This window comes from Homo sapiens, chromosome 4 (genome assembly GCF_000001405.40).
Source record: "Homo sapiens chromosome 4, GRCh38.p14 Primary Assembly".
Classification (NCBI taxonomy): domain Eukaryota; kingdom Metazoa; phylum Chordata; class Mammalia; order Primates; family Hominidae; genus Homo; species Homo sapiens.
The window spans coordinates 175,631,383-175,658,096 of record NC_000004.12 but is presented as its reverse complement, the minus strand read 5'-3'; the positions used below and the strand labels follow the sequence as shown (position 1 = coordinate 175,658,096).

Genomic DNA, 26,714 nt, shown 5'->3' with positions numbered 1-26,714 from the left:
ATTTTCCGATCACAACTTGAGCATAGGTAGTTTTGGGCTATAATGCTGACAACGATGATGATGATGATGACTGCATATTTTTGAGTAATTTACATAATGATTTAGTAATTTTCTCTGCATTAAGCTATACACTGTGTAATTTCCAGAGCCTACTTGATTGTAATGTTTTTTCCCTTTGCAGTTGTAGTGATAGTATGTTCAGGTGTTCATTTTCTTCCCTTTGACTTGGTGTTCTCCTGCCTTAGTGTTGTGGTTTATAGCCAAGAGCTATTTTCCCCTCAGGAAAATTGAGACATTTTGATTGCACAACCGACATCTGACATCTAGTGGTTAGAGGCCAGGGATATTGTTAAATGTCCTATATTATACAGGACAGTCCCCTTAACAAAGAATGATCTGGCCTCAAGTTCAGTAGTGACAAATTCGAGACACTCGGATTTAGATATCTGGCTCATGTCCGGTACCCCACTCATTCATGCCTTTGGCTATTTTATTGACATTAGTAGGTGTGTCTGGCTTATCATCTCATTGTTTTTTTAAACATTAGGAATAGTACCCTGTCAGAGTCTAAAGTTGAAGATCAAATAAGTCTTCACAACACATGTACTCCTGAGATCTCCTTTGATTCCAATATAGAAAGAGTTCTTAACACTGGATATCTATGAGAATCACCTGCAGTGATTTTAAAAGTATAGATACAATTAGCATGAGAGAGGCCTGAGCTGCTTTTTCTCTCTCACATTAACCAGATGATCCTAATGTCTGGCCATGGTGAAAACCATTATTAGAAGTTGCATTCCCTCAGCTACTGTCTATCTATTGAAGCTTTGTTTAAAATCACAGGATTATTAAACTCTGAACTATTTCTGCCTTTGATAAAATTTAAAGATACTTCCTTTGTTGTTAAAGTGGGAAACATGATTAGATTGCTACTCTTTAAATTCATTCCAAGATGAGAAAATACTACCAGAATATATCACTGTGAAATATAAGGTTCTGAGCTAAGACTTAGCAAACTATTTTTATATCCTGTGCCTTGAAACAGTGAGAAACAATGACCTGAGTTCAATCTGATAGAATATTTTTGGTTATAAAGAGACTTTGGATACATCAGAACATCCATTTTATTCATTTCACTAAAGTTTAAATGTGCCTCATATCTGAAACTCTTCATTATATCATAACATTCCATTCAATATGTGGCATATGTTTTCATCACTTAGTTCAGAGACTCAGAGACTTGTGCAATCAGAGTCAGCTGGCTTCTTTTCATCAATGCTGCTGACTTCCAAGGTGTTATTTTTACCTCTACTGGTGCACATCTGCTGAAGTTGCCACAGAAAGTCTAGACCTCAACAGGGTGTGATTTTCTTAGACATTAAGTCTAAGTTCATAGGAGTTCAGATGAAAAACCAATTACATTTTACAAGTTATTTTCAAGTTAAATACACTGCAATCTCAATGGCTACATAATCAAGAAGCAATATGTCACCTTTTTCTAAAGAACATGAAACCTTGCCTCTTGTAGTTCTGTTTCAATTTCTCTACCAGATTTCTAAAAGTGATTAGAATATCCAGATTGACATCAAAACAATAATTACATGTGGTTTTATTTAATTTCAAGTGATAAAGAAATAATTCGTAACAATTTTGTTGAATCAAATGCTAACATGTGGTAGGATCTCAAGAAATTTATACTGAGTAAAAACAAAAATCAAGCAGGAAATATAGTAGGAGGATGCTTGTTTTGCCAGACATTTGCATGTTCTGATGAAATGCTACTAAAATGATTATGGGATAATGGAATATGTCAGCTATTAATTAAATATATAGCACCCAATCTTTATCATTTTATACCAATTTTACTATCAAAGATCAATGAATTAACTAATTCAAATTAAGGAAGTTTTACTGAATTTTTTTTTGTGGGTCAAGAGGATTTAGTCAGCATTTTACTATATGTGAGTGATCCTAAATAATGACCAAAATGAGAAAGGCCAATGAGGCCACTTTATTTATGTAATTTCTACAGAACTTATCTTCCCTTCCTAGAATTACTATAAATTAAAATTCAGTGTCTGTTCAAAGCAATAAATACCAAATGGGACAGAAATAGTTTCCTTATGTCCATACCTACCCTTTGAAAGTACAAAGTAATACATTTTTATTAAATCAGACTATCTCCTCTCTTTGAGTTACTGCTTACATTTCCTGCTAAGTGACTTTATATAGAACCTTCCCCTTGTTTACATCATAGCCCTATGAGAAAATTATCATAATTTCCAGCTCGCAAATTACAAAAGTGACTATGAGGGATTAAGTGATATGTCAAACTAGTGACTAGGTCATCTGATTTCAAGTTCAGTAGTACTTTTATCATTTTTTTTCATTTTTCCACCATGTTTCCCAAACAGATATTATGAAGATGAATTTCAGAAAGAGTTGAATCAAAAAACAGAAATTAATAAAGGCACACATATACAAAAATGGTTTTTAAAATCAGAAAAATTTTTCACATTCTCAGAGTTTATTCTAACAAAAGTAAGAGCAGCTTATTAATTTATTTAACATTCAGATGACAAAATATATATATCCATGATATGCTTCAAAATGTGAAGTTAGAAATAAATTTATAATTATGCAATATTTTATTTATTACATAAAAAGATTTTCTACGTAGGATTACGCATAATCAATTTGAATAATTCTTCAATTTTAGTAATCATCAGATTCTGAAATAGAACATAAAATGGAAAGATCAAATTATATTTTAGCTTCCTTAAATACTTTAGTGAATATTTTAGTGAACTGCTACACCCTGAAATGCCACTAGTTTACATTCAAAATTAGAAAATAAAGACTTTTGCATTTTTCTAGAACAAAACTTATGCATTAATAGTAATGAAAATATTTTCTCACCGCACTGATTTACTCTATATCATCCAGCTTTGTTAATTTGCTGTAACATAGCTCAGAGTAGAAAGAAGATGTAAGGCAGTCCTGTGGTTTCAGAAGTTAGACCTTTCATTGCCTTGTAAAGTAGCAGTAACAACACACTTCAAAGTGTTCCAAGCTACTTTGAATCTAAACCTATTGAATTATAAGTCCCATTCTACAGTGAACAACATCTTCAAAAGAAGCTTTAGAAAGATCCCTAAGGGTAGAACAAATGAAAAATAAGATAGAAAGGATGCAACCAAAAGGATGCTGATTACTCTTCCATGGATTTTAGAGTTGCTTTTAGTCCTCCAAAGCAATGTGCTTCAGGCTGCCATATCATGTTTATTGTTCTAGAGACTATACATTAGCCTTGAGATCTACAATTGCAAATAATGAAAATGTTAATAAAAAAGATTTTTTCCCCCAAAGGTGTTCTTTTAAGAAGATTTCTTCACTTTCAGGGTGGTTTCCAAGAATTTCTGGAGGCTTTCTTCTAGAGAGAGAGCTCATTTTGAATAACTTTCCCTGACTCAAGAACTCATCATTCTTTTAATTTATCCAAACATGAAATGAAATCTAATTCCTTTATTCTATAAGACTATATAGAATTACATAATTACATAGTATGTACAAAATATATGTAGCAAGAGTAGTAATCACATTGATATTTTCAATGATAAAAATAGCTAATATTTTTGTCAGAGCTTCTTATGTAACAAGTTTCAATGCTAAATGCTTTTCATGCATTATCTCATCTCAGGCTCACTTAAGCATGTGAAGCCAGTTTAGAGTTATTTCCATTTTACAGAAACAGAAACGGAAGTATAAAGAGCAGACTACACTCAAGCCAGCTGAAAAGCCTGTGCCTTTCATCAGTATGCCTGAAGACCCCCTTTTATTGCTAAATGCACGTGATATTTAGTTTAGGATCACAGTAAGTGGTATGCCAGTGATTGTTAAATAAACGGAGAGATAGGTTTCTACCTCTTGCATATTAGAATCCAATGGCAAAAGATGGAAAATGACCTGCATTATGTCATAGGGCTTATTAGTGTTAGAGGTGAATGGGTATTGCCGCTTGGAGTATACTTATCCACGTTCAGAGGCTTAGCTGACCATTGTCACTTAGCCTGGGTGCCTAAGCAATGATGTGATAGGGTAGGGAAGGCTTTGAGAGGGGAGAAATTCTGAGCTGACCCCTCCACTGTTCTGTGAGCTTCACCTATTGATGTGCTTCATTCCACGTTCCAGAAAGAAAGGATAAAGACCACTTAAAAATATTAATATTATCCTTTCACTCTGGGGAAGATGAGTAAAATGTTTACCATATACAGTCAAGTGTGTCTAAAGACCAAATATTCTCTAAATTTCCACCTGGGCTATTTTATTCTTTTAATCAGTAAAATAAGGGGGAAGTGTTATTGCCTTACGTGACTGAAATCCTGCCATAAATCTTTATGCATATTTTGCCTCATAAGTGTTTGTTCAGCAAGACTAAAATAATTCTAAAAGGAATGTAAACTTTGATATTATTTTAAAAAAGAATACCTTTTTTATGATAGTTACTCTCCTTCCTTCGGTGATTTAAATAAATTAATATTCAGCAAATTTTATTTGCTAATATTCTTAAGGCAGGGTTTGTTTCATCTTAGATGTATAAAGTATAAATATGTCTGCCAAATCTTAGTTTAAGGACGTTGTTGAGACAGATGTTGACCCCAACTATTAGCATTTCATAGTAGAGACAAAAAGGAAGTAAGAGTTGAGATGAGATAAAACAATATTATTAGAAAACATGTGTTTGAGAATGCTCTGGGGTTCTGAAGTACTGGGGCATTTAGTAACTGCTATTTAATAAAAAGGTTTGATCTCCTGCCTCTCTTTATATTTGTCATATAAATTCCTTGCTATCCTTAATCCCAATAAACTCTATGTTAATCGCAATATAACTTTAATATACGTGCATAAGTTCTATCATGGGATTGATTCCCATTTTACTATTTTGCAAAAGTGCTAATTTTAGTATATATTATGAGGGTTATTGAATAAGTTTGACTTGTTTGAGATTTCACCTAAATCGTGGGGTAAAATCTAGCTAATAACTCATCACAAAAGGGATGAATAGGGTTGAATAAGAGGTCTAGTTTCATTCAGTATATTTATTATATGCTGTACTGCTATTTTGAAAATGTGACTACTTGAGGTGTTAGAAGTTTAGCCAGAATGCACTAGTGAATCTATTCCAGTCTTTGATCAAAGTGTACTTCTGAAATTCAGAAGAACCAAATATCTATAGAAATGTAGATTTTGGCATCCAGGGGCTATATTTCAGACAGTTTTCTGTCTAATGTCTATCATCCATCCACTAATTCATACATCTACATGTCCTTTTATCCAGCATTTACCATGTGTGAACTAAAGCTTCATGTAAATCCATGCTTAAACTAAGTATTTTATTCAATTCTATCTAGGATACATGAACACCTTGTATACACTTTATAAATATTAAAAATTGTTTCTGAAATGTATTTTTAAAGCTTGGGTATTTTCAAAATTAAAATAATATTTTACCATATATAAGTGTATATACTATATATAAAATATGTATATTAACATGCATAAAACAAAACAGACTTAAGTTTATAAAAATGTTAGAAGAGTACACACTAATATTATATACTAATGTGATTTGAGAATTGCCATATTTGTTAATGGTAAACATGATTAAATAGCTTAAATATTTGCGACATGACATGATGACAGTTTAGTCCTATGGAAATTTATTGACAGACTTTTAATTCTCCTGAATTCCTTTTGCAAAGTGAATACTTTCTAAATACCCAGGAATATTTTCTAAAGTTTAAAAAAAATCTGTGGTGAGATTTGAAAGTTAAATACATGGATGAAGAGGCATGATAATGCAGATGGATTATTTTTTTCTTTGTACATCAGAACTTCTGCCAAGATATGATTTTCCAGCAGGTTTATTCACTTAACCCATTATGCGCACTATTTCTCAACCTTCTGTGCTGCAAATCAACAGTGTTGTGATACTGACTTATGTACTGTATCCCATAAACTTCCTATAATGGAGCTTTGCAGATTAAACACAAAATTCTTCTTTTTTGGTAGATTACATTTTCTCTCTCCATTTCTTTCTCTTTTGCAGTTCATTATGCTGACATATCTTTTCATGTTGGCCTGGCTGGGAGTCACGGCTTTCACCTCACTGCCAGTTTACATGTACTTCAATCTGTGGACCATCTGCCGGAACACCACATTAGTGGAGGGAGCAAATCTCTGCTTGGACCTTCGTCAGTTTGGTAAGTGGATATTGGATCTCTAAACTGTAAAACACCATCCCATATTGTGTTACCTACATAGCTGCCTCTAAAATATTATAGATCACTTTGGAATTATCAGTACCTTTTCTACCACAGAGATAAATTTATCAGAGTATTACTGCTAAGGCTATTCCCTTTAAATTTAAAGTAGAAAGTCAAGGGTGAATGGATGTTAATATCACAACATATACACATGTATATTGACCAGGATGTCAGATCACATTACCTGATATTGACAGGTTAGAAGTGTGGTTTCCTTTTCTTGATTCCTTTGCTCTTTTCCAAACTCAACGTGATGTCTGCATTCTACTTTTATCCTCCCATGATAAACTGCACAAAATGTCAAGTCTACAATAAAGATCACCTAAGAAGGGCACAGTTCATTGTCTTCTGAAATGGGAGGGCAGCATCTTAATTAGCATTTAATAATAATAAAAACAAAAAAAAAAACGCTAAATAAATTAGGAGTCTGCTTTGGTTATTTTCATTTAGGGCTAAAATCTCATGTAGTAATAATACTCATATGTATATGGATTTACCACATATAGACCCTATTTTAAGTATTTCACATGTGTCACATTGTTTACTTCTCATGACTCTATATAGTAGGCCATACTGTTTTCTTCTTTTGTAGATGACAAAACTGAGGCACAGTGGGGTTGTTCAGTGACTTATCCAAGTTTATACAGCTAGCAACTGACAGAGATAGGATTCAAACACGGGCAACGCAGGTTGAATCAGAGGCTGTGTTCTTGCTCATAAGTCAACTGCCTTTCATATTAAAACTTAGTACTGAGCTGGAAGTGGAAAGGTAGAGTATAATCTCAGCCTATTTGAGATTCTATGTTATCATGTGTAACATTATGGGAGCTACAGAATTTATAAAAGACATGCAAATCCATATTTGCAAATGGATTATTTTTTCTCTGAACAGACATTAAAAGCCACCCTACTAACACCTGGGGACACTGAGCGTTTTTCTCTAATGAGGTTTCCTCATACTTCAGAAAAGTAGGAGACATTTCACTTAGATGGGGTATGAAGGGCTTGTGGCTTTACAGTTATACTGTAAGTAGATTATAGGGTAGCCAACTAGCTGTGTGTTCAGAACAGTGGCTCACCCACCATCCTACAAGATGAAGCCTTCAGTCCCCGTGTAGTGTGATCCACTACAGTACACTAGTTCGCATTTAATAATAATGAAATCAGGTGGGGCGTGGTGACTCATACCTGTAATCCCAGCACTTTGGGAGACTAAGGCAGGCACATCACCTAAGGTCAGGAGTTCGAGACCAGCGTGGCCAACATAGTGAAATCCTGTCTGTACTAAAAATTAAAAAATTAGCCAGGCATGGTGGCACATGCCTGTAGTCCCAGCTACGTGGGAGGCTGAGGCAGGAGAATTTCTTGAACCCAGGAGGCAGAGGTTGTAGTGAGCTGAGATGGTGCCACTGCATTCCAGACTGGGCAACAGAGTGAGACTCCATCTCAAAATAAATAAATAAATAAATAAATAAATAAATAAATAAATAAATAAATAAAATAATGAAATCAAAGAGTGCCAAATAAGTGAGCAGTCCTCTTTGTTTTATTTTATTTAGGGCAAAAATCTCACATAATAATAGTACTCATATGTACATGTGTACGGGGGGAAAAGCAGAATAATATGCTCTATGGGTGACGTTCTTGGCAAGAGGGAATATGGACATTGGGGAGGTTTTACTCTCAAAATCAAATCCCCTGTAAATATCGGAAAAGGAGCCCACAGCAAATGCTACTGGAGGTCACTGCAGAACAGCTGCTTAGAAGGCCGTGGCTCTGCTCTCTGCCCCTTGTCCTAAATGTCTTCCTTTTATTCTGCTGATCCTAAAAGTTAAATTTGGAAAATATGTGATTAGCCTCTCAAATAGGGTTGCCAGGTTAAAATACAGGGCACCCAGTTAAATTTGAGTGTCAGATGAACAAACTATATTTTTTATTACAAGTATGGTACCAAATATTGTATGGGATATAGTTATACTAAAATGATTTGTTCTTTATCTGAAATTCAGGTTTAACTAAGGGACACTGAGATTGCTTTCACTGTTAAATCTGTTAACCCTACTCTCAGAGCTTCGGTTTAATCTTAAGAAAGTGTTACCACAGGAAAACATGAGGGTCGGATTCTCTTGTATGTGATGGTTTATACTTTCAGAAATACACGAGAGATTAGCATGCTCTGATTAGGAACATTTCATTTCCTGTAGGATAATAAATGCAAATAGTTAAGTAGGTGATTATAAGGTCTTTGGTATTATCAAACCAGATTCTAAACTGAAAAAACATTGGGAGACTCTAGAAAAATAATATTTAAAATTTCCCCAAGTTTGTTTTCTAAAGGACAGAAAGAATAATCCTTTGTAAAAGATAAATAGACCTTCTTAATATTTTCAACTTTAAAAAGAGAAAAACTTATTAATTCTCAATGCATTCAAGTGCTTGTGATCCCCAAATTAACCTAATTTCACTGAAAGTATTAAGGCTTATACCACTAAGTATATAGGATTCCTTATGACATTAAGCACAGAATATGTCTTAGAGCCATAGAATTTTATAAATGGACTTCATTTGTCACCAGTCCAGCTGTCTGGTCTAAAAGAAATGGAGCCCTAAGAAATGAAATAATTTTCCAGGGATATAGCTACCCAGCAGGCCGTGCTGGGATTGAAAGGGGAGTGTCCTGAATCTTAGCACAATTATTTTCTACTCGACAGCTTTTCCAATACAATTTTTAGCAAAAGAGCTTTTTTCAACTATAATCTTGAGTAAACCATTAGTCTATTAAGTAGACAGAATAAAGGATCCTCAAAGATGTACACATTCTGATTCCTGAAACATATACATATGTGAGATTACTTTCAATGGGGAATTAGGGTTGCTAGTCAACTGATCTTAAAATGGGGAGATTATCCTGGATTAGCCAGATGGGCCCAGTGTAATCACAAGGATCCTTCAAAGTGGAAGAGAGAGTCAGAAGAGAAGAGTCAGTCAGAGATAGACAGACTATAGAAAAAAGGCAGAAAGATGCAGTGTTGCTGGCTTTAAAGATGGAGAAAAGGGGCCAAGAGCCAAGGCATGTGGGTGGCCTGGAGAAACTGGAATAGGAAAGGAAGCTGCTCCTGCTTCTAGGGCCTCCAGAGAAGTGCAGCCCTGATGACCTTTTGGTTTTAGCTTTGTCTTCCAGAACTGTAAGAGACAAACTTGTGTTGCTTTAAGCCACTACATTTATGACAATCTGTTACAGCAGCAATAGGAGACAGATACAGTATCGAAAGCCAAGGTCAATTTTTTTCCCAAACTGCTTACTGTTTTTGTGATCTCCTACATTTACTTGATCATGATGGCAGTCCATTTTCTGTCAAAGCCAGCAAAGTTGCCTCTCCCTGACAATTCTGCAAGCTTAATTCCCCTTCACGGCTTACTCCAACACAGGTACAAGTTCCGGAGTTAAGGATGTGAACATCTATGGGAGGCTATTTTTTGCCTACTGCAGTCTACTCTCTGGCCACCAAAGATACACATCCATTTCTTTGTGTGAAATACATTCAACCTACCCCAAGTTCCAAAGGTTTCATCCCATTATGGCATCAACTCAAAGTCAAAAACCTTATTTCAATCTCATTAGTTCATACCTCTGATTGTCTTTTTTTTTTAAAAAAAGAAAAGAATGTGCTATATTATTTCTTTCTATACTATGTAAAGCATAAATATGTGGTTAAAATTATTCTTTGAAGCTTACCAATGTTTACAACATATTTATCAATATTTATCCAAAGGTACCTTTTCTTTTATGGATTTGAAAGAAAGAGAAGGCACTTTTTAGATGTCATGCAGCCTTTACATGAGCTATTAAGACGTTCTGTTTAGCTCTTAATATAAAATCTATTGCTGTATAGCATTTATTTGCCCTCCAGATTATATGTCCTGATAAGACTCCTGAATGTATGTATATAACCACATTATTATCAAGAAGCATCAGAAGAGAACCATTCCTCAAACATTGTATTAGGATCAATTCAGAATTTACTAATATTCATCAAAAAGACAATTGCATAGATAAGAATATACTTTAATTTCCCTTGTTGCAGAGTTGTCTCCTTAGTATATAGACGCTATCTTTTATTTTACAGGAGACTAGGTATTTAATATGTAATAGGAACTCTCAGCCTATAATGGCCATTATACCTACTTAGTGGAGGTATACATCTTACTGTTCATTCCCATGCATGTAATAAATTTATGCATTTCGAACAGTTCTAATGGCACACAGAGACATTACTTGATATAGTTGGAGGATTTATAGATAGCATATCATATTAGGATTTGCTGTATTTCAAACTGCTCATGAAATAATTTTATTCGTATTTTTGATGCTTTTATTATGATTTCTGTTATCCTCCAATTATATATTCTGTGATTCAATTACATTGGATGTATTAGATGTTTATCCCCATAACTTTATGTGAGGAAATGTTGAAACTGATCCTCATTACATCATCTAGATGTAAGGTTTAAAACTTTCCTCCATTACAACCTGAAGACTTGATAAAACTTAAGAGCCAACACAGAGAGAAAGTAGGTGGGGCTTCTTTTAGACTTTTAGCCAATCCTACCTCTTATTCAGCACACCCACGCATGTTAGCGAGAGCAGCTTGTTTTTATCTTATTTCCATAAAGCACTTCTCAGTAGGATTTCATTTCATTTATTTGCTCACACTATTTTTGTTGCTGAAAGCAGGGATTCGATCTAGGTCACAGTGCTCGCCACACAGAAAGCCAGTCACTGAGACAGAAAGTATTGCCAGGAAGGAAGGCTTTTTCAGGCACTGCAGCCGAGGTGGATGGGAGATCAGTCTCAAATCTGTCTCCCTACCACTAAAATTGGTGGTGGGGTCATATAGTGAATAAGGAATGTAAAACAGGAATTAGGGGATAAGGAGGTAACCATGAATGAGAGTCTGGCATCTCATTGTCTAGATGTGGTGATCTGGTCAGCTTCAGTCCCTTGCCTGATGGTGAGTTTCCTGAGGGAGGAACTCAGATGAGACAAATGTAAATTTCAAGTTTTAAGACCAGCAGGGTTAATTTCTATGTTTGTTCAAAAACCCACAAATATCATTTCCATGGGACAATTGGGTTGGTTTCATTTTCAACAAATATTTAAGGAAAAATTGTGTCATGTGCTAGTACTGCTCAATTTTGAAAGAAAAATATCTTCATGACAAAAATATAAAATGAAGTTTGACACTTACATCATGAACCTGGCTCATCATACTTTCTCTAGAGAAGACAGCCAAGACCTAGGAATATTCCATTATTTGTCCAAGATGTAACAGAAGATAGAGTTGAAACTAGAAATAAATAGCGCTTTTAACCTAAGTGTGTGCTATTCAAAAGGACACTTTATGTTTGCATAAAAATTAGATACATATACTCCTAATAGGAATTCTTTTGTATATCTAGCTATGTGTCATTGCTAATTACTGAACTATATTCATTTCTGCTAAATAATTCAATAATTCATTTGGTAAAATATTGGTTATATTTTTCCTGTGTAGGCTAAGCCTCTGTTTGGTATTCCCATGTTAGGTGACATGTCAAGGGGGAATTGAAGTCACAGATGGAATTAAGGTTGCTAATCAACTGATTTTAAGAAAGTAACGAGCCTGAATTATCCAGGTGGCATCAATGTAATCAGAAGCATCCTTAAAAATGAAAAGTAGGGCCAAAGGAGAGGAGTCATTCAGAGGCAGATGGACTATAGAGGAAGGGTATGAAAAGATCCATTGTTGCTGACTTTGAAAATAAAGAAAACCCCCCTAGAGCCAGGGGAAGTGGGTGGTCTCTAGAATCTGCAAAAGGACATGCTGGTATTTTATCATCTTTAAAATTAGCAACGTAAATGATAAATTATTTTTAAATTTAAGCATTTATATTTCATAGTAGGGAGTTAATTCCTATCGTGCTATCAGACCTCAGAGTGTCATAAGTATCTGCTCATTCTGCTTAACTCCAACTCTCATTTACAATTTTTGTTTGTTTGTTTGTTTTTTGAGACGGAGTCTTGCTCTGTCGCCCAGGCTGGAGTGCAGTGGCGCCATCTCGGTTCACTGAAACCTCTGCCTCCCAGGTTCAAGCAATTCTCCTGCCTCAGCCTCCCGAGGAGCTGGGATTACAGGCGTGTGCCACCATGCCTGGCTAATTTTTGTTTTTTTAGTAGAGACGGGGTTTTACCATGTTGGCCAGGCTGGTCTCGAACTCCTGACCTCAAATGATCCACCTGCCTTGGCCTCCCGAAGTGCTGGGATTACAGGCGTGAGCCACCCCACCCGGCCTACAATTTTCTTAAGAGGAATTTACAACCCTAGGAGTCGCACTTCAACTGTCCAGTAAGCACCAAAGGTTTTTATTGCCTTAGTGATGAAAGTCATAGGAACCGTGTACACACATTACGCATCATTTTCTCTGACGTTGTTCATATTTCAAGTACAAATAATTCTCACAATTCCAGAAATATATTACTTGTGTTTAGCTAGCATGAAAAATATAAGGTACTAAAGAAGCCCGTTACTGCAACTTTCATGCATCAAGTCCTCCCTGTTCTCCCCAATTCTCTTTGCACCCAGTTCTTAATGCTTCTCTTGCCTAGTTTCAGCTTATTATTTTTATTATTTTTGAGACAATCTCACTCTGTCGCCCAGGCTGGAGTGCAGTGGCGTGATCTCGTCTCACTGCAACATCCACCTCCCGGGTTCAAGCGATTCTCCTGCCTTAGCCTCCCAAGTAGCTGGTGACCACCACCACGCCTGGCTAATTTTTGTATTTTTTTAGTAGAGACGGGGTTTCACCATGTTGGCCAGGCTGGTCTTGAACTCCTGACCTCAGCTGATCCGCCTGCCTCATCCTCCTAAAGTGCTGGGATTACAGGCGTGAGCCACTGCGCCTGGCCTCCCTTGCTTATAACTTGCCTTTTCTCCTAATTGCTTTGAAGAAACTGAAAATATCAGTCTGCACCTTTCAGCTAAAAACTTTTCCATAGGTAATAAATATATATATTCAATATTTAGAAAAATTGATATAAATTTGAATAATGTTCTTAATTTTTGGTGAGAACAATTTGGCCATTCATAGACAGATATATGAGAATCAAAATAATCAGGTTTTCAAATTTACACTGCAGCTCATCCTCCACGTGCTCCCTTCTAGAGCTTCATATTATTCACATGTTGATTTTTAAACTACAGTTAATTTTTAATATATATTATATCTATTTGTTATATATGGTATACTTATCACAAAAACTTTATTTTATGTGTGCGTGTGTGTGTATATATACACATATACATATAGCATCAGGAGTACTGGAGGTTCAGTAATGATGTTAGCAGTGGTACATCCATATGGGCCTGCAGCAACCTCACTTCTTGCCTCCTCAGAAGGAAGAATTCAACTGAGGGGCATAAGGCAGAGTAAGATACCGGGGCAAGTTTCAGAGCAGGAGTGAAAGTCTATTAAAAAGTTTTAGAGCAGGCTGAGGCAGGAGAATGGCGTGAACCCGGGAAGCGGAGCTTGCAGTGAGCCGAGATAGCGCCACTGCAGTCTGGCCTGGGCAAAAGAGCGAGACTCCATCTCAAAAAAAAAAAAAAAAAAAACAAACGGAAAAGTTTTAGAGCAGGAATGAAAGAAAGTAGAGTTGGAAAAGGGCCAAGCGGGAGACTTGAGAGATCAAGTACCCTGTTGGATCTTTTGACTTGGGGTTTTATACATTGGCCTTCTTCTAGGGTCTTGCATACTTCTCACCTGGTTCTTCCCTTGAGGTGGGCTGTCCGCATGTGCAGTGGGTGGCCGGCACTTGGGAAGGACCGTATGTGCACTGTGTTTTCTGGAGTTGCACACATGCTCATTTGAGTGTTCCTAGAGGAAGGTCATATATCAGTTACACTCTGCCATTTTGCCTCTTAGTGTGCAGGCTTGAGCCCGCTTCTGCAACTCCTGAGTTCAGATCAAGAAGCTGCCGATCACCAGCTACAGGTGTTTCTTTATTAGGAGCCAGCTGTGACTAATTATTATTTTAGAAAGACAGTTAACAACTACCTGACTGTCACCTGATGGTGGCCTGACATCCTTGGTGGGCGGTGAGTTGGGGTCTCTCTTGCTCTGCTCATGTCTGACTACCTACTGTAACGATAGTATTTTTTTTTAATGATGTAGAAAAATTGCACTGAGCAGTTGTCATTTGAAGGACAGGAGTAGCTCAGCTCTGGGAATATTCTTGTCAGAGAGAAGAGCCGGTGCTAAGTTACCAAGCCAATGTGATACCTGGTTTCTCAGGAAACAACAGGGAAGTCAATGTGTCTGAAGTAGAACAAGACAGTAGGACAAAAGACTGAGATGAAGTCTATGAGTTCCCACGATGTACCATCTTGATGAATGCATTACAGAACATTATAGGTGTGGGGTTTTATTCTGAGGGGAGTAGAGAGTCATTACAGATTTTGGCAGAGGCAGGAGATGGTCTGACTAATAATAGAAGGATTACTCTAGCTGCTACTTGAAGAATGGTTTGTAGGAAGGGTAGAAGCAAGGAAGCCAGTTAGCAAATGATTGTATTAATCCAAGTGGGAGATTTTGGTGGCTTGGATGAGGAGATGGCAAGGGAGGTGGGAAGAATCGGTCTGATTATGGATGTATTTTGAACATAGAGGCAGCAGAATTTCCTGATAGATTGCATGTAGGGTTTGCGGGGGAAAAAAGAGAATTCAAGGAGGAATTTCTTTTGACTGAGCAAATGGTAAGATTTGCTATCAAGAAAGATAGGAAAGGCTATGAGAAGTGTTTGCTTGGGAGTGGAGCCAGCAAAGGAGAAGAGCAGAAGTTTTTTTAAAATGCTTATTAGAAATCCAAATAGAATGGTCAGATGAGAAATTGGATATATGAATCCTGATTTCAGAAGAGAGATATGGGATGGCCACATAGATTTAGGAGTTGTTGACAGTATTTAAATATCTGGGACTGGATGAGATATGCATGGGAGAAAAAAGGCTGAGGAGTGAAGGGTGGGAAGCTGCAACTTAAGAGGTCAGAGAGAAGAGGAGGCAACAGACAAAAATATGAGAAGAAGGAGCCAATGAGATCAGAAAGGCAAAAACTGAAAACTGTAGATTTTAGAAGACAAATGAAGAGAGCATGAAGGAAAAGGTGGGCATCAACTGTGTTTAATACTGTCAACTTGCAAGAAGATGAAAACTGAGAATTAATCCTTGGAGGTCATTATTATCTTTATAAGAAAATTTCCATGGAGGGGGGTTAGGGCAAAATCTGACTTGAGAGGATTTAAGTAGAAATGAAAGGAAAGGAATTACAGTGAGGTTAGGCAACACTTTCTAGGTGTTTTGCTGAAAACATGAATTGAGAAATGAATAAGGAAATGTAAGCACAACATAAATATTCCACAAAATAAAGTCTGTAATGGATTACTATGAAGAGAGAGAGCCTTGACCAGAAGCTTTTTCAACAATGGTGATTTTTTAGGGAGGAAATCTCATGAGAGAACCCTTTTAAATTTTTACCCACTCTTAGAACCATCTTGGCAGAAAGGAAAGGCTGTAGAGAGGGATCTCTGTGTTTGTTTACTGCAAATAGATTTTTCACACTGAAATAGATTCCACAAACTATTGGCAAAGGACAAACTAATAGCAGCAGCTCTGTAAGAGAGGGAGAGTTGATGACACCCCATAAAGCTAAGAATATGTAAATACATATACATATTAAAACTAAATAAAGAAGGCCTGGTACCGTGGCTCCTACCTGTAATTCTGGCACTTTGGGAGGCTGAGGCGGGCAGATGACTTGGGGTCAGAAGTCTGATACCAGTTTGGTGAACATGGTGAAACTCGTCTCTACTAAAAACAGAAAAATTAGCTGGGTGTGGTGGCGGGCACCTGTAATCCCAGCTACTCTGGAGGTTGAGGCATGAGAATTACTTGAACCCGGGAGGCGTAGGTTGCAATTAGCTGAGATTGCACCACTATACTCCAGCCTGGGTGACAGAGTGAGACTCCGTCTCAAACAAAACAAAACAAACCATGAAAATAAAACAACAATAACAAAAACAACTAAAGAGCAGAAAATGCTAAAATCTTAGGTATTAGAATGTCCTGAAAATGTTTTATCATGCCTGTATGTGTTTAGCACTTCAAGAGTTCAGAAAATAAAATTAAAGAGCCATGCTCAGATGAACTTGGTTACTTTTGCTCTCTAAGATGAGACAAAGAGGCGTGCCAGTGAATTGCCTCTGTGCTCGTTTTAAAAATGCAGTGTTCTAGGCCTAATATTCATAGATTCCCATCTATCAGTTTTGTGTTAGAGTCTAAAAATACATATTTTTGACAACTTCCTAGGTGATTCTAATGCTGTTGGTCTATGAACCAACTGGAACAAGGGTAAATAGAAGCGAAATGGCAACTTTTCATTTCCTGTTACTAATAGCATTGTTTGCAATATTGGCAGAAAAAAAAGTACTCCTTTGGGCAGTATGCTTTTAGAGATTAACAGAAGCACTGCACCAGCTGAACAAATTTAGATCCTGACTTCAGCACAGTCTGGGGCATAGTTAACAAAATAATTGTGATGCCTATACTATCACATTAATGGGCCAAACCAATAAACTGGCTATAATTGAGTCTGGAAATTCTGGTGGTGAGATTCAATTGAATTCAGATTGAAATTATTTAAATTGCTTGAGGGCTAAATAGTCTTGCATATTATATTCATAATTCTATGCATAGTTATTATCCACAATGAAAGCTAGATTATTTTTCCACTGTAACATAACATAAGATAAAATGGAACTTGCTTAGATTTGATTAGCAAAAACTCATTTTTTTCTCTCTTGGCTCTTCAAAACATTTATACTGCTAAACTGTCATTTCCCACACATTGTAGGAATTGTGACAATTGGAGAGGAAAAGAAAATTTGTACTGTCTCTGAGAATTTCTTGAGGATGTGCGAATCTACTGAGGTGAGTGTTTTTACAGCCTTTAATTTTGTCAGAATTTTAGCATTCATTTTTTATTATTTGGATAATGTATTAAAACTAAATCTATATTGACTTTTCCCTTTATTCTATCAGAGGCAATTTTACCTGAAGTAGTGTTATTCAGGAGGAGTAGAGGATAAATAGGAATTAGATGCTCTGCATATTTCAATAAAAATTATAATAACTATTTCAAATTTTCTGGAAACTCATTTTAATGAAGGCTGAAAACATGATGAAGTTGTTTTTAAAGAGAGCATAGCCCTCCTTATATTGTTATAATGTTACTGATGAAAACCATCATTATTAATCATTGTCTCATCTTTATAATGAAATTATGTTATAATGATGAAGTTGAAAGGATTTAAATGATTTGCAGGGGAAAATATATTGTAATAATCTGTTTTAATCAGGTGGGTGATTTATCACAGGCTCGCTTTTATTTAAGATGTACAAAGTCTTGTTTATAAGACAGTAGCAATCTTGACTTCTCTTCTACCTATAACTCTGACACCTTTTGATTCTCTGTGGTTTCCATTGCAGCTGAACATGACCTTCCACTTGTTTATTGTGGCACTTGCTGGAGCTGGGGCAGCAGTCATTGCTATGGTAAGACCTCAAAGCGCTGGTGCTTGGTTTTCAATGTGAATTCCAAAGCTATTTGCTTGTAGAGATGATAAACTATCTCTAAAGTTTGAAGTTCATGTAAAACACATTTATGTCATCAGATTAAAAAAAGTAGGGAAAACAATGGGTAAGTAAGTCAACAACAAGACTAAACCCCAAGAAATATTATTATTACCATATTGAGAACATTAACAAAAATAGTAATTCATTAGGATTTTAGATATTAGATTACTATAAATATAAAAATTATTTCTGTAGCATATATGTACATACCAATGTGACATTGTGAGTAATCTAATCAATTCCTTGATTTACTTTTTTTTCCTTAGCTAAGAACATTAAAAAGCCATATAGAGTCATTTATGAAAAACAAATTAGGTTATTAAAAAAAACAAATGTCAGTAGTTTCAAGTCATGTCTTCTATATCTAATTTGCTTCAGAAATATTAAGAGCCAGTCTTTAGATCTTCTTTTAAGACATCAAGCTTTTACACAATGAGGAGGATCTACCACGTGCCAGAGCCAGTCTCCTCCTTTCTAACTTGGCATGAGTTCCAGTATGCCCACTGGAATGCCAAATATCAACCCTGAGCAAGTGCTCTGAGTGTCAGTAATAGCTTTTGCAGCCAATATCTTCAGTCTTTGTTTGTATCCTTGAGGATGAGTAGTCTAGAGCCCTAGAAGGACTCCCAGTAACCTCACGACTGTGACAGCCGAGTCAATATGTAAAGATGGTGAATGAATTGGAATTTATTTAATTATTTTCCTCATGGTGCCAATATCTATCTAATGTATTGGTGAAAGGAACACTTTCATAAAAAAATGTTTTTCTCTTGTCAGAGACTAAAAATAAGAATGATGAGAAAATACTAATGTGCTAATTAGCCATGTCAGAGTGGTTATTTTACTGATTTCATAAATATTTTGTATTTAATTTGTTTTATTAAAAATGACTTACATATATATTCAATAAAACTATGTCAGTACTAACATGAATTTTTGATGTTTTGTTACTTTAGCGTTGCTCAACATTTTTGATACAGTGACCTCTATATAGAATAAACCTCTATATAGAAATTTTGTTTCAGAACGTGAGACGCTTGATAAGGATCATGTTGGTTGATTAATTGGGGGGATCAAAATAGAACAAAAGCAAAGGCCTTATATTCTCAACCTAAAATTAATGCTAAACTATGCCCTGGGGAAGAATCAGCAAGTTCTGGCCAATGATATACCAAACATTATTGTCCTTAGGAGAAAACATGCTGGTTGTGATATCAGAGGAAACATATGTACCCTTGTGTTCATACACCCATTTCTATGCTGTCAAAAACTTTAATGACACGGGTATGTACAAGCAATATATACCCAGGTACAAGAAGTCTGTGAAGGTATCTTTTAAAAAGTGGACTATAATAAATATTTGTTTGCATTTGCTACATATATGTGCATATAAAATTCTGTCTAAAAATACAGGTATACACTAGTGAAAAACACCTATTTAGACAAATGTTATTTAAATGTCCCTGAAAATGCTTACTCTCAAAACAAATCAACAGATTTTGAGATGATAGAAATTTATATATTATGTATTTCTTAAGCAATCTATGCTTTGCATATACTTAAAGCTATACGTACATTTTATTTAAAACAGAAAGCTTAGAAGATTATTTTTTCAAGTACTAAGCATTATTTGGGGGTTATTTTCTCTGTCTAGAGTCATCACAAAACCCCATACTAGCTTAAATGATTGACCTAAGTATTTCCAATTTATTAGCTCTGATAATGATGTAGGTCTTGGGAGACAGGTAAAATATAACTACTGCTACTGTTCCTGGTACTAATGCTGCTAGTACCAGGAATAATAAAGCAGGGACTTTATTATTAATAATATTTCTTAAAAACTTAATATTAAAAATTGAGAATAGTAATTGTAATGTTATTAATAATATTTCTTAAGAACTTATTCTGTTCTACTCTACTCCATTATTTGTAGAGAAGTTAGGAAGTCCTACATGCTGACAAAGTAAATCGACTTAGCATTGGACCAGATTTCAGTAATCACTGTTCACCTAGCGAGGGACAGTAATAAGCCCTGCAGCTTGGGTTCCCCTTAAGGCCAGAGGAAATGCTTGTAAGAACCATGAGGAAGCACCTGTTTCTGAATTGGAGTGACCTTGAGTTTCAGTATTTCATTCATGCATATATGTATATATATATATATAATATATAAATATTATATATAAATAGATTATATATTTTATATTATATATTATATATTTTTATATATAATATATAAATAGATTATATATTTTTATATTATATATTATATATAGATTATATATTTTTATATTATATATTATATTTTTATATAATATATAATATATTATATATAAATATATATAATATATAATATATTATATATTATATATATATTATATATATTATATATTTTATATTTTATATAATATATAATATATATATAATATATATTATATATTATATATTTTACATAATATATAATATATTTTATATAATATATAATATATTTTTATATAATATATAATATATTGTATATTTTTATATATATAAAAATATAAAGGTTTTATATATATATAAAGGTCATATATATATGAGGTTACTGGGAGTCCTTCTAAGGCTCTCCATATATTTTTATATATATAATTATACATTTTTATATATATACTATATTATATTATTATATATTATATAATATATTATATGTTATATATTATATATTTTTATATAATATATAATATATAATATATATTTTATATTATATATAATATATAATATATATTTTATATAATATATAATATATAATATATATTTTATATTATATATAATATATAATATATATTTTATATTATATATGATATATTATGTCACATATAATATATGATATATGTCACATATATGATATATTATATGTGACATATAATATATCATATATAATATATTATATATTATATATCACATATAATATATTATATATGATATATTATATGTTATATATTTTTATATTACAAATATTTTATATATAAATATATTATATATTTTTGTATTATATATATTTTTATATAAATATATTTTTTATCTTATATATATTTACATATATAAATATATATAAATACATATATATATATATATATGCATGAGTGAAATACTGAAAAGAAATTCAAGATCACTCCAATTCAGAAACAGGTGCTTCCTCATGTATGTAAAATATATATAATATAAAAATATATATTTTATATATAATATATATTATGTAAATATATATATGTATTTTTTTGAGACAGAGTCTACTCTGTTGCCCAGGCTAGAGGAGAGTATCATGATCTCAGCTCACTGAAACCTCTGCCTCCCAGGTTCAATCCATTCTCCTGCCTCATCCTCCCGAGTAGCTGGGATTACAGGCACGTGGCACCACACCCAGCTACGTTTTGTACTTTTAGTAGAGATGGGGTTTCACTATGTTGGCCAGACTGGTCTTGGACTCCTGACCTCAAGTGATCAACCCGCCTTGGCCTCCCAAAGTGCTGGGATTACAGGCGTGAGCCACCGCACCTGGCCTCAATTATACATATTTAATAATAATTTGGGGGCCACATTTTCTCAGATATTATGAAAAGTTTTTGAAGATTGAAAAATACATTCATTTATTTGGCAAATATTTTGTGTATCTGCTATGTACTAAGCACTCTCCACAGCACTTGATATTTTACAGCAACAAAATACTGCATAAACTTCATTATGTGTATAAGCCTTATTTAATCCATATATATATGTATATATATATATATATATATATATATATATATATATACAGTGATTATGCTTTCACTATGTAAATGCCATAATGTACAAGAATATAACTCACAGCCCCTGCTTTCAGGTGGCTTACAATATTCCTTAAACAAAATGCTAAACTTCAGAGGAAACAGAAAATTCTAAAAATAGGTTATTTATAGTGGTATGCATCTTTTCCCCTACATCCCGTGTCAAAATTATTTTGTTTTTTGCTGTTTGTTGACTACCTGAACACACCACAATATTCATTATTTAGAATTGACATTGCATTCTTTATATCCATCTGTACTTTTCTAGAACCAGCCCGCCTCCTCTTTCAATGTACTGTTTACTAATTATCAAAATCTTAGTGTTCTATTTTTCTGAATGTTGGATTAAAATATTGCCCACCCTTTAAAACTCAGAGAATGTAAATAACTGTCAACTTAGTTTCTCTTCCCTATTCATCAAAATTCATCATGTGGAAAGCTGCTTTATCTCCCCTGTGGACCAAGAGGGAAGAAAGAAAAGAAAAACAAATAAGCGGTCTCATTGCTGGGTAAACTCAAGTCAAATAAAGGAGCTTTATTTCTCCAGCAACTTCATTACTCAAGACAAACCAGGAGCTTCCTTTTTGAACATGGCACTATTCCAGTTTTTGTGAATGTATATACATATAAAAAATCCATGTAACACAATATTTTATCTCCTGTAGTTTATAACCAAAAAGAAACTACAAAATTCATCATATGCAAAATTAACCTGATAATCAAGTCCACAGGTATATTTGGGGGTTTCCATGATCTCTCTTTAATTGGGGTAATAGAACCTCCAATTAATTCAAGTCAGTTAGACACAACGGTATGTGAAAATATTTCTGATTATGGATTATAAAACATAGATACATGAACATGAAATGAATCATCTATGGTTTGGGCAAATGAGGACACATTGGGCAGGAAACATCCTATAAAGACTAAGAATTAGTTTTGGATTACTTCCAAGAATTGAAAAGGAGAAAGAGATACTGAAAGAAATGGTGCCAAGAATATGGTGGGATATAGTTGGAGGAATGAAAATATATTTTATATTGTTTCTGTTACCAAAGAAATTTTGTTTCCATTTTATATGTGAACATTTCCTATAAAGAGCTATAATTCGAAGACTTCTTTCGAGATAGCAAGGTGTAATGAAGACACTGAACAAACTTCCAATATAAATTATTTTTCTCTTTGATTAGGTTCACTACCTTATGGTTCTGTCTGCCAACTGGGCCTATGTGAAAGACGCCTGCCGGATGCAGAAGTATGAAGACATCAAGTCGAAGGAAGAGCAAGAGCTTCATGACATCCACTCTACTCGCTCCAAAGAGCGGCTCAATGCATACACATAAATGCATCTTCCTGTTCTTTCTACCATTTGAATGCATTGGTGTTTAACTAAGGGCCATCCAACCATCCAACCTTTAAAAAACAAAACGAAAGTGCTTCTCATCAATGATATGTAAGGTGACTTATGAATCACCTGAGTACAATTCTTTGTTGTTTAGCACTTAAATTTCCCAATTTATTAAATTGATGTAAATCAGATCTTTTCTACAAGCTCCTATCCAGCCTTTTTTTTGAAATTTCTCAAACTCATTTACTAGTTCTGTAAAATCAAAGATACTAACATTGTCAAATGCAAAGATTTGTTTGATTTTTAACCACTTCCCATGTGTTATACATAACACCTTTTGCATTATTTCTTATGTTTTGAAAAGAAAATAGCTTTTTATACTTTTTAGTTTTGATTTCGGTAACTAGTTTAACTACAGGTAACCTTCAAAGGGACCATTGTACATTATGAACAATAGATAGAGATTACATCTTGATGACTCTTGAAATATGGAAATTTTGTCTGAAGATCAGTGGCCATATTACTGTAGGCCCTGGTTCATGTTTTCATCAATCTAAGGTGCAATTTCTAAATTTGTAAGAGTAGGTTTAAAAAAAAAAGTGCTTCTTATCTTTGTTAACATTGTACTTTTCCTTGATGTTCTTAAAAGGTATTTCCCTCAGATTACTCATGTTTATGTTGTGAGCATGTAGAAACAGTAATGCTAATGCATGGCTAGTTGCCTTTTTAAGATTGTGACACCAGGCTTACCTTTTAAAGTTTAGTATATAGAGACAATTTTAATGGAAATAACTACTGTAGACTATTGAAGAATGATCTCTTTGTGATTTAAGAAGTGGCTGGATTGGAACTTTTAATATGCTAATGTGGAAAATTAATTACCTTTATGAAGGTGGTTTATTACAAATAAGCACACTAACCCCTCGGAAGTTGTTTTACCTACTTTAAAAGTTTTAATGGATTGCACCTCTGTAAACTATTCCTAAAATGTGTATGATATATTTGAAAAGGCTTCCATTAATATAATAGCTTTGCTTGCAGCCTTCCAATCTATGTTGGTTTACCTGTAGTGTTTTATAAAGTGTGGTCAGAGGCCCCTATAGAATGTATTGTTTGAAAGTGTAGTGATATATTTGTGTTTTTATTTCAAGTAAGTCATTTTAACCGAATGTTCATTCATATTCATTTATAAAAAGTACCTGTATCAAAGGAATTTTAACAAAGAGCAATCAGTATTATTGGACCAAATTTGGTGTTTGTTTTCACCTTGACGCTCTTCTTTTCATTATTTCTAATGCTACAAGAATGCTGTAAAGTGTCTTCTAAAATGATGTAGCCTGACAAGACATTTTTTTCAGTGTATAAAACTAGGTAGTATTGTGCACTGATTTGACCATTGTGAAATCCTTTCTCAGTGTAACTGCATTTCTAATAAAAATTTATTGAGTGAAACAATCTTTGTACAATGACTAGTCATGCATCATCAGTAATTTTACAAGTTCTTGTAGTAGGTAGGGGGTACTACTAGGGATATCTGTGGCATGATTATGCATTCCGTAGTATTATTTAATTAATTTGGGGTTCATTTTGCTTCCTTTTCTTTATGCTTAGATTATCTTACTGGTTCAACATTTTTCTGATATATGCAGTATTACAGATATTCAGCAAAAGTATTAATGGGCTTCTTTAAATTCTATATTATAGTATTTCAGTTCCGTGTCTTAACAGTTTGTGATAATTTCTAAAACTGTCTTTTCAACTTATGTAATGATGTTGACACTTTTGGCTTTTATTTCTGGTATTAGAGTTTGTATTTTCACAGAGTGCTTTGTAGCAGGCATTACAATTAATCTGTTTTGTACATAAATGTGCCAACAGCTTGATGGTGGCGTTTTTGAAATGTAGAACAGAGTGCTTGCAAAATGTAATAAATACACTTGTGTACTTTGTGTACTTATTATTAGCTTCTGCAGTGTATCTGTTTTTTTTCTTTTTTGTTTTGTTTATTCCTCTTTCCTATGTGTGTGAATTCTTTTCAAGTACAATAGATGCCATCCCCTTATGATTCTACTTCAGCTGAGCTGAACTAACACGTCAAAATTCAATGACGATTCTGTGCGTAAATATTCAATATCAGAATGCTGGACAGAGGGAGTAAAGACTTTGGAGGTTATTTTATTTAGAAAATGATAACTTTTTCTGAGTGCTGCCATTTTCTTGTCTGATCTCTACTGTTTTGTGTTTCCTTTAGTACTTCACAAACAAACAGAAAAAAAAGCCTAATGCAATTCAGAAAGAAAAATGCTTTCTTGGTTTGCTTCAAAATACAAAGGTGAGAGCAATGAAATTTAAATGTATTTACATTTTTTCTAGGCTTTGTATGTTTTAGATCTGATTTCTTCTGGCCAAACTAGAAGTTATGGCAAGTTAAAAATAATAAGATAGTTATCAATAAAAATACTAACTTTCATAAGGCTTAAGGAATTATATTAGTCTCTACTTACATATTACTTTGAATGGGAACATGAAAACCTCATGAACTTATGTTAGAAATGTCTACAATAATTATAAGTAGATGTAGACAAAGGATTTTAATTATGTTTTTAAAAGTTATTTTTAAGAAAATAAAATTATTTTCTACCTATATCTTATTAAATGATAATTCTTACTTCCAGTGTTTATTAAATCCTTATAATAGCTGCAACATAATTGTATACTACACAATATGAATATGAACAACAATTTTATAATATATGCTTTACAAAAAGTGGATTATTATAAGATTATTATAATTTTTGAAAACTGAAAAGTCAATTTCTCTTTGTAAAAATGTGCATTTTATCCTTAAAGCAAGTAATTTCCTTTTGAGAATTTTAAGGTTAATATTAAGCCTAAGGAAATTACTTACTTTGAGAATAAGATGTGTGTAGATCAGCTCTAACTTGCATGTAAATAGTTTCATTCTTTATGTTAAAACAAAAATATCAGATTTCTTCAAAGAACAAGTAGATCTTTGTTTTATTTATTTATTTGCCTTAGACAAAATAGAAACAGGTGATTTTAAAATATATTTCATTTAGGCAACCTGGTAGCAGAAATATAATGACCACCATGCAATTTAAATTATACTATAATATCTTGAAGAAATTCTCTTTGGTTTCCTGTGAGGTTTTCAGATAAAAGATTGTTTTAAGTCAATGGAGTCAAATCTGTATAAAATGCTTCTAGCTCAAATGTGTTTTTATTTTCTTAAATAAGCCCAGGACCTTGAGTTTCTTCTTACAAAAAACATTTTACCTTTCTGATCATTTTAGGTTATTTGGCTCTTTACCACAAAAACCCATCACAGGTTAGCAATATAAAATTGAAAACAACTTAAAAATGAGAGAAATCAATTCTTTAACTCATTATTAAATGAATAATGAAATAAAATATTAAATGAAATAATATCATTTTGACCACTGTATTGCTAATCTGTAGAATCTTTTATACATAGTTGGAAATACCAAACAAAATT

General features: G+C 33.8%; 1 protein-coding gene across 8 annotated transcripts in view; it reads left to right on the top strand.

Annotated features, from left to right (window-relative positions):
- GPM6A (glycoprotein M6A) overlaps positions 1-25,160 on the top strand; it is a 369,457-nt gene extending 344,297 nt beyond the window's left edge. For all 8 annotated transcript variants that reach the window (NR_048571.2, NM_001261447.2, NM_201592.3 and 5 more), the window contains 4 exons: positions 6,110-6,263; positions 17,268-17,344; positions 17,903-17,968; positions 23,040-25,160. Coding sequence is in view for 7 of the 8 variants with exons in the window: in NM_201592.3 (NP_963886.1) it covers positions 6,110-6,263; positions 17,268-17,344; positions 17,903-17,968; positions 23,040-23,192 (450 nt within the window). In the remaining variant the exon portion in view is untranslated. The remainder of the gene's footprint in view (positions 1-6,109; positions 6,264-17,267; positions 17,345-17,902; positions 17,969-23,039) is intronic.
- Positions 25,161-26,714: the final 1,554 nt, after the last annotated feature.